Consider the following 14,499-nt stretch of genomic DNA (forward strand, 5'->3'; position numbering starts at 1 on the left):
TTGCTCTGTTGCCCAGGCTGGAGTGCAGTGGTGCAATCTCGGCTCACTGCAACCTCCACCTCCCAGGTTCAAGCAATTCTCCTGCCTCAGCCTCCCAAGTAGCTGGGATTACAGGGGTGCGCCACCACGCCCACCTAATTTTTGTATTTTTAGTAGAGACGGGGTTTCACCATGTTGACCAGGCTGGTCTTGAACTCCTGACCTCACTGACCTCAGGTGATCTGCCTGCCTTGGCCTCCCAAAGTGCTAGGATTATAGGTGTGAGCCACCGTGCCCGGCCAGACTTGATTTTTGCGAGTCTGGAACCCACTTTTAGCTTTTGCCAAAATGATGTGTGTGAAGGCATACCTGAGTTTGGGATAAATGTGCAGTTTTTCTGAATACTCATGACATTGAGCATGTGTTTATATGTTTATGGATTATTTGTGTATCCTCTTCTGAAAAATGACTGCACGTATCTTTTCTGTTTTTTTTGTTTTTTTTTGTCTTTTTCTTATTGATTCTTGGGCACTAATTCTTTGTTATAGATATTGCAAATACATCACAGTTTGTGACCTATGACATCTTCTGAGAAACAAATTCTTAAATTTTAATATAGTAGAATTTATCCATCTTTTCCTTTATAGTTTATGTTTTTGCATCTTTTTAATGATATCTTTCCCTACCCCAAGGTCATAAAGATACCCTCTGAAACTTCCCCCTAAAGGTTTTAAAATTTTGGCTTTTCCATTTGAGTCCTTAGTTCATTTGGCATTGAACTTTTATGAGTTAGAGAAACTTTGCATTGTTTTCTATATGAATGACCAATGCACTCAGCCTCTTTATCTGTCCTTTCCCCAGGAATCTGTAGTGCCAGGTCTGCCATATATGAGGTTTCTACATATGGAGGACCCACTTCTGGGTTCTCTATGCTGTTCCATTGGTACATTTGTCCATCTGTACACCAACACCACAGTATCTTAATTACTATAATTTTATACTATAAGTGTTGGAATCTAGAAGGGCAAGCTCCCTCCTGGGTCCCTCCCATTGCACTTCCAAATACATTTTAGAAGGGTGCTTTACATTTTTTATGACTCTTGGACATCCCCAGTGCACGTTATTGCTCTTGTCTTACAGCAAAAAGAATATTCTTAGCTCTCACTCTGAGGCCACAGTGTAGGGTGAACACCCATGATTTAATGAAAGCAGTTGAGAGGTTTCAAAGTCAAGACACAACATTGTCTTTCTTGACTAATTGGAGACTATAAACCTGCTTAAAGCCAAACTAAAGACCCTTGCACTAAACATGGCTCTTGACTCAATAATAGCCTTGGCCGTTCATAAACAAACCTGTTTTGGTCAAACTTTGGTTTGACATTTAAAACCTTGTAAACATAATAGCTACTTCCTTTCATCCTGACCCAACTTGGCTTCCTCCAAGGCAAATCAAGGTCACAGTGCTATTTTAGGGTACAGTGAAAATTAAGTTTCTTAGGATGCCTTAAATAGCTGAAGCGTAGGCTGAAACATAAACTGGAATTAATTAAAAGAGACCACATGTATAAGAGTGTGGAGATCCAGAGAGGGTACTTAACCAGCCCAAGGTCACACAGTCTGAAAAACTCAAGTCTCTTTACTCTCTGTTCCAATTTTTTCTATTCTATACTAGGTGTTGGATGACTTTTTTTGGAGAGTAAAAGAGTAAATATCTTAGGTTTTGTGGGCTAAGAGGCAAGGTCCTCAATTATTCTAGCAATTGTTCCCCTAGAAAGACCAATATTCCTTTTATATCTAAAAATGTAAAGCCATTATTAGCTCAAGGGTCCTGCAAAAACAGTGGGGTGGACTAGATTTCCCTGTAGGCTGTAGTTTTCAACCCAAGCTCTACACCATATGTAAGAGATACGTATTCTTGTTTCCGCTTTTTAGATGATTAAAAACATACATATAAATGGCCAGGCGCGGTGGCTTACGCCTGTAGTCCCAGCACTTTGGGAGGCCGAGGTAGGCGGATCACAAGGTCAGGAGATCAAGACCAGCCTGGTCAACATGGTGAAACCCCGTCTCTACCAAAAATACAAAAATTAGCCAGGTATGGTGACAAGTGCCCGTAAACCCAGCTACTCGGGAGGCTGAGGCAGGAGAATGGCGTGAACCCAGAAGACAGAACTTGCAGTGAGCCAAGATCACACCACTGCACACAAGCCCGGGCGACAGAGCAAAACTCTGTCTCAAAAAAAAAAAAAAAAAAGAAAAAGAAAAAGAAAAAACACCGTACATATAAAGAAAATTACAGATCAAATATTACAATGCATATTAGGAATCAGCAGAGGTGAAATTGTGTTCCCAGAAACAAACTAATGCTATATGGTATGCATTTGAGGATTAGTTCTGAAGATAGCTGAAGTAAATTGGAGTCCACTTCATTTTATCCTCCGCATATTGAAAAGTCTGTTATGCCTCAGGAACTTCTTGGTACTAAATCACAAAATTAAGAATGATCATTGATACAAAAATTCTCAGTAATTTGATAATATACAATGTCTGTGTGGAGTCTAAATATGCATTCTGAGGAAACAAGGTTATTTATATATATTATACCTTTTCTCCATTTAAAGATTAAAAGTCATTGTTGAGTTATTCTTAGATAGCCTTCAAACCCAAGTATATTATAACTGTGAGTATATCAGACATGCTATTAATTTTTCCTGTGTTATATATAGAGAAGCCTTCTTTGATGTGAATTTTGTCATTTGTATATTCTCTGATTTAAACGTGTTGTTTGTATCTTAAACATCACAAATGAAGTTGCATTTTCATAACAGCTTAGCATCATAACCTTTTCTATATTTCTTGCTTTAATTCCAAATCACTATAGAGTGTGCCCACAGTTGTATCTTTTTACATGTTTTTATTCCTTAGGCCAGAGCCTATTAAAACACTTCACAGGTCCTATTGCTATCTCTGGGCATGTTACTGGCTTTCCATTCTTCAAATACCTGTCCATTGTGAATTATAGGCACTAGCTGTGTCAAATGAAAACAATTTCAAAGATTTGTGTGTGGAGAACTTGAGAATCGCTACCTAGTCCTTTGAAATGTGGTCAGCTGGATATTGTTAGCCTCCTTGTCATTTATTTTGTGTCCCATATTTTGAAGAGCCTTCTCATAAACTCCTAGGGCTTGACAGTCTGGGTGTCTGGTTTAAGAACTTTCTTATCACATTATTACCTAAGGGCTGCAAAGGGCACTACTTACCAACTCCACAAAAATGAAAAGTGTCTCTGAAAATATTTGTCTTCAGACTGACTCATTCTTGAATGTCTGAAACGTATACTGGATACTTTTTGGTTTGTTTACTCGGCTTAGAATGTGGGATTAAAATGAGAAATTAACATCAACTAAACCTAAAACTTAGACTTTTCTAGCAGTGCATTTTTATTTTTCATTTTGTGGATAGGTCAAGAGCCTACCAGTCTCATCATCATCATTTTTTTTTTAATGAAAAGTCATTATCGTTTTTCCCTCATTATGAAATAATGTACAACCAAAAATTTTAAAGCAATTCAAAAAAGTATAAAGTCAAATAGGAAAATCACCATGATCCCCAGAGTAACCATTTTTAATCATTCTATGTATTTACTTCCAGAATTTCTGTGCATATATAGGTTCTTACAAAAATATCATATAAATCTGTCTGATGTTTTTATGAGTTGCTGTAATATTCCACTGTATTGATATGGCACAAGGTATATAACCACCTCCGTATGTGCTTGTTGTTTTTGTTTTTTGTTTGTTTGTTTTGTTTTTGCACAGAGTCTCGCTCTGTCGCCCAGGCTGGAGTGTGGTGGCATGATCTTGGCTCACTGCAAACTCTGCCTCCTGGGTTCAAGCAATTCTCTTGCCTCAGCCTCCCGAGTAGCTGGGATTACAGGTGCCCACCACCATGCCAAACTAATTTTTGCATTTTTAGTAGAGATGGGGTTTCACCATGTTGGCCAGGCTGGTCTCAAACTCCTGACCTCAGGTGATCCACCCGCCTCGGCCTCCCAAAGTGTTGGGATTACAGGGGTGAGCCACTGCACCGGGCCTATGTGCTTGTTTTATGTGCAGATTTATCCTCCCTCAGTTTTCCCTAGCATCATAGGTGCAGGCAGTGTATCATAGCCTTAGCTTTCACTAATAGATGTTTGTACTACTCTTTTGATATTAAAAATTTTCCTTAGGATAAAACAAATAAGAGGGTGTTTACATGCTACAACATAGATGAACCTTGAGTTCCTTATGCTAAGTGAAAGAAGCAAGTCACAAAAAGACAAATACTGCACGATTCCATTTGTATTTAGTACCTACAGTAGTCAAATTCATAGAGACAGAATACAGAGTCGTGTTTGGCAGGGACTGGAGGGAGGAGAGAATGAGAGATTGCTGCTTAATAGGTACAAAGTTTCAGTTTTACAAGATAAAAAGAATTCTGGAGATTAATTGTGCAACAATGTGAATGTACTTAACACCAATGACCTGCACACTAAAAAATGGTTAAGAAGGTAAATTTGGCAAGGTGCATCCTTCCACAATTAAATTTTTTAAAATCAAAGGATGTTTAAAATATGATTGTATATATTTTATTGTAAAATGTACTGACTGGGTATATAAACGCCACCCTTTCCTGTCAATTTCAGTTATCTGGAAGACAAACAAAAACCAGGACAATACTACAAAGATTCTGCACTTCATTTGTAGTTGAGGCCCTCAGACCTTACCGCATCTCTTTATTCTGAATTTATAAGTAATTCAATCGAGCTTTAGTTACTGATTTCTTAATTAGTAGCATAGATTAAACAATTAGAAATACAGAAGAGGTATCAGAGAGCTATAGGTAAGGAAGCAGCAGTAGAAAGAAAGGAAGGTAGAAAGCCTAATACCACAAAAAGAATCTTCCTCCAAAAAAAAAGCATACTTAACAATCAAAACCATAGACCATCCTGCAATTAAATGATATAAATGCAAATAAATATCTCTATGTATGCAACAGCATCACTCAACAAATATTTCTTAAGTATCAGTTATGTACCAAGAATCCCTTAGGGCCCAAAAGTGTTCACAGTGACAGCAATATTGTTCAGGAAAGGAGGATTATGTCACTTTCAGTCTGTTTACAAGGCAGGAGAGCCTGTCATACAATCACAGATGGTCAGAGTTTGGGTTTTAATGGTAAACTTCAGTTATCTAGAAATTGCACTTCTATAGACTCTCATGTTTCCTCAAATCCTGTGTCCAAATGGTATCCTGTTTAATAATTGTATATGATTTAGTGACTGTATTGGTCTATTCTCACACTGCTGATAAAGATATACCCAAGACTGGGTACTTTATAAAGAAAAAGAAGTTTAATGGACTCACAGCTCCACATGGCTGGGGAGGCCTCACAGTCATGGCAGATGGTGAAAGGCATGTCTTACATGGTGGCAGACAAGAGAGAATGAGGACCAACTGAAAGGGGTTTCCCCTTATGAAACCATCAGCTCTCATGAGACTTATCCACTACCATGAGAACAGTATGGGAGAACCACCCCATGATTCAATTATCTCCCACTGACTCTCTCCCACAACATGTGGGAATTATGGGAGCTACAATTCAAGATGAGATTTGGGTGGGGACACAGCCAAACCATATCAGCGACCTTACCTATCTACATGGACTTGTACCACCTTGCTCCTTTTGTAAGCAAGCAATTTGTAAGCACATTATTCACCAAGCAGCAGTATGTGCTTGTTAACAAAGACATATTTTAGCCACAATGTTAACCTGACTGTAGTCCTGTTTTATTTGACTGTTTGTACCAATAGCCACAGTTTATAGGTTTGGGCTATAGAAAAAGCTGATATTGAGCATAACAAAATAATGCATGATGTACCATCACTATAGGATGGTGGGTTTATTAAAATAAAATATCTCTCCCTTTCTCCAGGGAAGCCGTAAATTGCAAAATTATCAATATGCCATCTAGCAGTTTATTTATCATGTGAAAATTTGGAAGTAAAATGTGTGGTTTCAGCAACTGAATTCAGTAGTAATGACAACTGTTCAAGAAAAATGTGCTCATACAGAATTCTTGGTTACCATCACCTGTGATGGGGCCTAAATATTTTTCTTTGGAGAAAAAGTAATGAAATTTGGAGGCCTTACAGTTAAACATTATTCTGGACATTACTGGTTTTGCTTGTTCTGTTTTACAAAATGCTTCTGCAAACAAGACAGTGCTGGCACAAGGGCAGAAGACACTCTCAGCATTGCTTTAAGAGTCAGATTCATCCATTAAAATACACATTCAAACTCCATATAACTATATATAGTCACATATATAGTTATAACTATATTTAACTATATATAAAATAACTATATATATAGCTATATATATATATATATATATAGTTATTTTAAATTTGCCTTAATAGCTAAACCCCTTTTTAAGGTTTTCCAAATGCGACTGCTCATTTGAAAAAATGTCGTGTGGGCCGGGCGCAGTGGCTCACGCCTGTAATCGCAGCACTTTGGGAGGCCGAGACGGGTGGATCACGAGGTCAGGAGATCAAGACCATCCTGGCTAACACGGTGAAACCCCGTCTCTACTAAAGATACAAAAAATTAGCCGGGCGTGGTGGTGGGCGCCTGTAGTCCCAGCTATTCGGGTGGCTGAGGCAGGAGAATGGCGTGAACCCGGGAGGAGGAGCTTGCAGTGAGTGGAGATTGTGCCACTGCACTCCAGCCTGGGTGAGGGAGCAAGACTCCGTCTCAAAAGAAGAAAAGAAAAAATGTCGTGTGAAAATACTGCATTTTTTATTAGGATATGATAATGATTCCATCTCTGTCTTAGGAAAACTAATTTAAATGCACTTTTGTTGTTGTTTCTGTACTCTTCCTTCCAAAACTAACAGTGAAGCAAGCTATCAAGGTGTCTGCTCTGTTGATCCAACTTGAACAATCAAACTCTACTTTAGCAACAAGAAAAACATATTTTTAATATTAAAAGAAAAGTAAAGCACATATTAGGAAAGGTGGAAATAGAATCATCTTGGAGACTTATAAAAGATATCTGATGCTTAACGTTTAGAAATCTTGTGACCTGAATTTCAATTGTTTTGCTTTCTAAATTATTTTATATTTGTTTATTTGTATTTTGGTTGTAAAAAAAGCAGAATTAATAAAAATTCTTTTTTCATATCCTTTCGTATTTCTACAAAACAGATGTTGCCATTATGTGGAATTTGTCATCTTCCAATATACAATAAAATAGCCTAACATGAAGTCTCTATCCTCAGTCCCATTATTTCTTTTTTTTTTTAGACAGAGTCTCGCTCTGTCCCCCAGGCTGGAGTGCAATGGCACAATCATGGCTCACTGCAACCTCCACCTCCAAGGTTCAAGCGATTCTCCTGCCTCGGCCTCCCAAGTAGCTGGGATTACAGGCATGCACCACCATGCCCAGCTAATTTTGTATTTTTTTTTTAAGTAGATACGGAGGTTTCTCCATGTTGGTCAGGCTGGTCTTGAACTCCCAAACTCAGGTGATCTGCCATCCTCGGCCTCCCAAAGTGCTGGGATTACAGGCGTGAGCCACCATGCCAGGCCCCTTGGTCCCATTATTTCTATCCCATCTTTGCCTTTTCCATTTGCTCTGCCACCTGGCTCCTGCACTCACCCTTCTCTTAGAGCCTTTTCCACTTATGACACTATACACTGTGCCAGCGGGGTGGGTTGTTTTTGCAGAGCCAATCCCAAAGACTTTTGTTAATTCCCCCTTGGCTTTCTTGTCTATCTGCTTCTAAGATTTTATTTACTTGGTATTAGTCATCTGGATGAGAAGAAAAACTCAGTCAATCATCAAAATGTCTAAAATATCCAAACGTTTGTATTCCCAGAGATGTAGCTTACATTTTCTTATTTATTTTTGTATGACGTCTCACTCCAGCTGTCATTGTATTTACATGCTTATCTCCCCATAGTCTGTTTTTAGTGCTGTGAAGCACTCTTGTATCCTTGACATTTTCCAAGTTTAATTTTTAATCTTCTTTTCTTGTTTTTACCACAGTTATATATTTTATATAGTTAAATAATTTACACCTATGACTTATGTTATCTGTCTAGTACTCTGTGATTTACTTTTTCATATAGTCAGTATGTATTGAGCATCTTCTGTTTGCATTTGTAACCCCAGTGCTGTCTAGAGGTATCCTGTCCTTTGAGGTTTAAAACTACATGAAATTCCTTGAATACCATCTCGACCTGTAGGAAGTCCAAATTCTGCCCCAAGATTTCTTCACCTTCCCTGGGGCCTGCATTTTCTTGGTAGCTTTTCCTTCTGATTTTCTGTACTTGCTGAAGATTTGAATCTTACCCACATCTCAATTTCCACAATGATTCTTCCATTAATGGACCAGAGCTTCTTGTTTAATAAGGCGGTTTTATGTGTGTGTGTGTGTGTGTGTGTGTGTGTTTCAGAGACAAAGCCTTTTTTTTTTTTTTTTTTTTTTGAGACAGAGTCTCACTGTCACCCAGGCTGGAGTGCAGTGGTGCAATCTCAGCTCACTTCAGCCTCTGCCTCCCAGGTTCACGTGATTATCCTGCCTCAGCCTCCCAAGTAGCTGGGATTACAGGTGCCCGCCACCACGCCCAGCTAATTTTTGTAATTTTATTAGAGACCGGGTTTCTCCATGTTGGCCAGGGTGGTCTCAAACTACTGACCTCAAGTGATCCACCCGCCTCGGCCTCCCAAAGTGCTGGGATTGCAGGCGTGAGCCACTGTGCCCAACCAGAGACAGAGTCTTGCTCCACTGCACAGGCTGGAGTGCAGTGGTGGAGCCAACTGCAGCCTCCAACTCCTGGGCTTCAGCAATCCTCCCACCTCAGCCTCTGGAATAGCTGGAACTACAGGCACTCACCACCATCCATGGCTAATTTATTTTATTTTATTTTTTGTAGAGACAGAGTCTCACTATGTTGCATAGGCTGGTCTCAAATTCCTGGCCTCAAGTGATCCCTACCTCAGCCTCCCAAAGTGCTGGGATTACAGGCATGAGCCACCATGCCTGGCCATAAGGCAGTTTTATATGACAAAGTGTATTGAAGATTTAGAGATAACACAGGAAATTTCAACTACATTGATAATGTGCTATTTCTGAGCTGGGTGGTAGCTGCAGGAGTATTTATTACATTATTCTTGATACCTTTCCATATATATGGAGAATAGTTTAAAATTTTTATGTGTCAGTGGAGAGTCCTATAACTCAGAATGAATAATGATTTTATCTTCATGTTATCAGAAAAGAAGTCAGATGCTCTGAGGAGCTGGATGCTTTTGTCCAATGAGTTGCAGACAGACGTTATTGCTGGAATTTTTTATTAAGAACATTTCAAAGTCATCACCCCTCTTTGTTTTACCTTGTCCAGCACAAAGGAATTATCAACACCTGTACATGTCATGAAATTACCATTGCAGTGGTCTCATCTTCTTCTTGACCTCTGTCACTGGTTCCCCTGTAAGACAGTACTCTTGATCTTGACATCACCAATCACAGTTCCTCTCCAAGCACCCTCCAGTCTTTCCATCTTTGTCCCTAGGACTCCAAATCCCATAATCCTTCCATCTCACTGGTACCCACAATTCCTTTATCCATTGCTTTGTCACTGTCTCTGTGCTCCTGGAGTCTCCTGTCTTCCCTCATTGATGACCTTTATTTCATGGTCAAGGAGCCATCAGGACCACTTTTTTTTTTTTCGCATTCATCCTCAGCTCTCTTGCTTGATCAAATCCATCTGGAAAAACCACAAATCTGCTTAAATCCCACTGTGTCTATGCAGCCCAGTCACTGCTTCCCCTCCTTCTTTCAAGTCTTTATTCCAAAAATCACCTCCTCAGGTGAGCCCTTTCGTGACCACATTATCTAAATGTTTACAACCCACCCCTGACATTTCACTTCTTTCTTTCCTGCATTAATTTTTCTTGGCAATTATAATTAGTTAACGTGTGTATTATACATATATATTTATCTTATCTATTGTTTTCTTCCCCCTGTTAGAACATAAGCTACCGTGTCCCCTGTATCTAGAATAGTGCCTGGTGCATAGTACATAATAAATGTTTTTTGAATGAATGAATAAATGATACCACTTCTAGATTTGAATATAAATTTGAAGTTGGACATTAGGAAAAAAAAAGTGAAAATAAGTGACTGAGGGAAAATGGCTTTGAGGGTGAGAAAGCGTCCCATCCTATCACTGAGCACAGTAGATCATTTAACTCAGCATCCTTGTGTTTAAAATGCTCCTTAAGCCAGGTGCAGTGGTGCACCTAAGTAGCTTGTAGTCCCACCTACTTAAGAGGCTGAGATGGGAGGATTGCTTGAGCCCAGGAGTTTGAGACCAGCCTGGACAACATACGGAGACACTGTCTCTAATAATAATAATAATAATAATAATAATAATAATAATAATAATGATAATGATAATAAAAAGCTCCTTAAGCACCCTTGACATACAATACCCAATCTTGCTCCTGCAGTCCTTCAGCCCCCTGCCCCTGAGCTTGCTATCTTTCAAGCTTCCTTGCACATTTTCCTTTTCTGGCACTGTTTCTGTTCTGCCTGATTCATGTTCATTTTATACGTAGTGAAAGTTATACATTTCTTGGCCTGTTCTCAGGTCAACACCCACCTGCAGGCTTTGTCCAGAGAGTGTCCTATTATCATCAAATGGGCCCCTGAAGTCATGGGAGGCAGCTAAGAGGACACTTTCCTCTCCCCAACACTGTGAACTTGTCCCCCCTCCTAGGAATGTAGAGATGAGTAAGATGTGGCTTGCTATGAGAAACTTCGTGGGGTGGTGGAGAAGGCATGTAAACAAATAATTACAGTGCAATTAGGTACGTGTTATAAGTCAGTTATGCACAAAACAAATGAGGGAGCAACTAACCACCTTGCGGGTTGAGGGAGGTAGTCTTTCAAGACAGGTAACTTTGAACTGCTCTGGAATCAGCAAAACTCAGCCAAGCAAGGTCAGAGGCAGTGAGAAGTGGGCATGTCAGGCCAAAAAACCATGTGGAAAAGCACAGGAATATGAAAGCAAGCAGAGGGTCTCAGCGGGCAGGAATCGCACCTGCAGCCCCATGGGGGCCAATGGCCTCTCTGCTGGGGATATAGGGGACACAGAATACAGAGAGCCTCCCACACCATGCCCAGGAGTTCAGACTCAGCACTGATGGCCAGGTCTAAATACTTTTAATCAACCAAGTGACATCATCTAATTCGGGGAATTTATTTAGGATTGATCATTAATCTCAACTATCCTATATTTTTACAAATAACTTCTGTTTTATTTCATAAATATCAAAGAGATTGGTATAAAAGTTCTGGGGATGAATCTTAGTTCCTTTTTAATACTTGATATGCTAAGGAAGTTCTCAGAGTGTGGTCTGGGGAACCCCTGAAACTAAGCCCCTGCAAGCTGCTTGTTTTAAGTACCGATTCTAGGCCTCAGACCTGCTCACTGAGGATGGGATCTCGAGGGGAAAAGTATGGTTACTAAAGACTTCAAATAATTCATATACATGAAAAGTTGAGAACCACTGTCCTAAGGTTCTGTTGGAATATCATGAAACTATACAGAGATAGTTTTCTTAATCACAATCTGATGTGAACTGATACTATCAAGGAAGTGTGTTACTCATAACAAATGGGGAAAAATATCCCAAACATTTACATCATATACTTTAGAAGGCAAATTCAGGCCAGGCACAGTGGCTCATGCCTATAATCCCAGCACTTCGGGAGGCTGAGGTGGGCGGATCACCTGAGGTCAGGAGTTCAAGACCAGCCTGACCAACATGGTGAGACGCCCCCCCAACTCTACTAAAAATACAAAAGAAAAATTAGCCGGGCATGATTGTAATCCCAGCTACTTGGGAAATTGTGATGGGAGAATCTCTTGAACCTGGAAGGTGGAGGTTCCAGTGAGCCGAGATCATGCCACTGCACGCCAACCTGGGTGACAGAATGAGACTCTGTCTCAAATAAATAAATAAACAAATAAATAAGCAAATTCTGGTATCAGATTTTCTCCTTATCCTTTACAGAGAGTTATAGTCATGATTTATCTCACTTATATCCAGCCCCAATCAAAGTATTAATTAGATAGTGTCTATTGTCCTCCACTTGTGGGGAGAAGATGTTTTGCATAGCAGTGAGCAACTAAGCCAGGAATGAATTCAGCTCTAAGAAGTTACTCTTCTCCATAGTGAGCTCCTCCAAGACAAAGCCTTTAGGTGTGGGCTCTGATACTCCAAGCAGGCCAGACTGCTGGGCAGAAAAGTCAACATGAAGCAGAGCCTCTGTGCTCTGAAGTTTGCACGCAATCGCTCCGAACGCAGTCAGCTTATCGGTCCAAGGGAAAATTAGAAGTTCCAGATTCCAAATAAGATCTGGACTGACCTTGGAGTAATGACTATGAGACAGATGAACTTTAAGGCGTTTTACGATCTTAATATTCTATTACTTATAACAATGGAGAGTGTAGCTCTCCCACCATCAGCCAGTGGAAGCGCAGGTGACCTCTGGGGTTTCCCTGTGTCTGCAGATAACTGTCAGCTCTAAGCTTTCTTCATCAGATATCTCAACCATTGTCTTTAAAATTTTCCTATGTTTATTCTGACTTTGTTTTTTTCTACCAGGAAGTAAAAACTAAGCTAGTAGTTTTCCAAACTGAAAAAACAAACAAACAAACAAAAAATTACTTAAAATGAATGCTGCTGGGCATGATAGCTCATGCCCGTAATCCCAGTACTTTGGGAGGCCAAGGCGGGTGGATCACCTGAGGTCAGGAGTTCAAGACCAGCCTGTCCAACATGGTGAAACCCTGTCTCTACTAAAAATATAAAAAATTAGCCAGGTGAGGTGGCGGCAGGCGCCTGTAATCCCAGCTAGTCAGGAGGCTGAAGCAGGAGAATCGCTTGAACCCGGGAGGCAGAGGTTGCAGTGAGCCGAGATCATGCCATTGCACTCCAGCCTGGGCAACAAAAGTGAAACTCCATCTCAAAGAAAAAAAAAAAATGAATGATTATAGTTTGAGAAAACAATTAATAAATTATAGGACTTTAAATTTCTATTTTTGAGATGAACTGTCTTTTTATTGCTCTGAATGAATTTTCTTTTTTGTTATTAATTTTTATGTTTAGAAAAAGTAATCTAGTTTTGTTTTGTTCTTGTTTTTGACAGGGTTTCACTCTGTCGCCCAGGCTGGAGTGCTGTGGCGCGATTACAGCTCACTGTGGCCTCAACCTCCTGGGCTCCAGCGATCCTCCCGCCTCAGCATCCTGAGTAGCTGGAACTACAGGCTTGCGCCACCATGCCTGGCTAATTTTTTTTATAGAGACAGGGTCCCACTATGTTGCCCCGGCTGGTCTCCAACCCCTGGGCTCAAGTAATCCTCCCACCTTGGCCTCCCAAAATGCTAGGATAACAGGTGTGAGCCACCTGGCCTAAACTTTGGTTTTGTAAATAACATTTTCAAAGATTTTTTTTCAAATGGTCCTATGAATAGACAAACCAGGCACATGACCTAAGAAGTCCCATCCGCCTTAATATGCGTCTCCACCTGCCAGCCTGCAGCTCGAATTTTCCATCACTTGTGGCACTGGTGGCAGCTTTCTGTCTTTTTTGTTTGTTTTAAGAGGTAATGTTTTCTGAAAAATGTGTCAGTTCCCAGGCGGATTTTTAAAAATTAACCCATTAGCATCATGTCTCTCGATAAGATTAGTTTACTTTCACCTCTCAGACAGAAGACCCTGCAGCAGCAGGTGACAAAGCAAAGAGTGACCAACAAGAGAGAGTGGAGGTGGGTGTGGCTAATTTAGTGGTTCCCAGTGCAGGGTTGCACCAGGCCAAAGCAAGTGAGAAAAATAAGAACGAGGTAGAGATTTTTTTTTTTAATCAAGTAAAATGGGAGCTTTTTATCAAGTTCCCATGTTAAGGGAACAGCTTTTTCTTTCTTTTTTTTTTTTTTTTTTGTTGAGACAGATCTCACCCTGTCTCCCAGACTGGAGTGTAGTGATGTAACCTCTGCTTACTGCAACCTCCACCTCCCAGGTTGAAGCGATTCTCTTGCCTTAGCCACCCGAGTACCTGGGACTATAATTACACTCCACCATGCCCGGCTAACTTTTGTATTTTTAGTAGAGACAGGGTTTCACCCTGTTGGCCAGGCTGGTCTTGAACTCCTGACTTCAAGTAATCCACCCGCCTCGGCTTCCCAAAGTGCTGGGATTACAGTCGTGAGCCACCATGCCCAGCCAGGAACATATTTTATTCTGTGGGCATTTTACTTGCTTTATGGTATCTTAATTTTTCTCTGGAATATGAGGACAGTAGATGAGAGGTCTGCTGTGGTTTGGGGGGTGGGTGATTGTGTTGGTTTGTGTTTGGAGGTGGCCATTGCTCTTATATTGAAAAATATAACTAAGACAGC

General features: G+C 40.3%; 1 protein-coding gene and 1 long non-coding RNA gene across 9 annotated transcripts in view; one reads left to right on the forward strand and one right to left on the reverse strand.

Moving 5' to 3' along the window:
- The window catches only part of COL4A3 (collagen type IV alpha 3 chain), a 150,169-nt gene that overhangs the window by 47,063 nt on the left and 88,607 nt on the right, over window positions 1-14,499 (forward strand). The gene's annotated exons all lie outside the window — the stretch shown is intronic.
- The window catches only part of MFF-DT (MFF divergent transcript), a 104,113-nt gene continuing 98,979 nt past the window's right edge, over window positions 9,366-14,499 (reverse strand). Inside the window, exons 13-14 of the long non-coding RNA NR_102371.1 lie at window positions 10,696-10,808; window positions 9,366-9,798 (exon numbers count right to left, since the gene is read on the reverse strand). This is a non-coding gene — a long non-coding RNA (MFF divergent transcript). The remainder of the gene's footprint in view (window positions 9,799-10,695; window positions 10,809-14,499) is intronic.

This window comes from Homo sapiens, chromosome 2 (genome assembly GCF_000001405.40).
Source record: "Homo sapiens chromosome 2, GRCh38.p14 Primary Assembly".
Classification (NCBI taxonomy): Eukaryota; Metazoa; Chordata; class Mammalia; order Primates; family Hominidae; genus Homo; species Homo sapiens.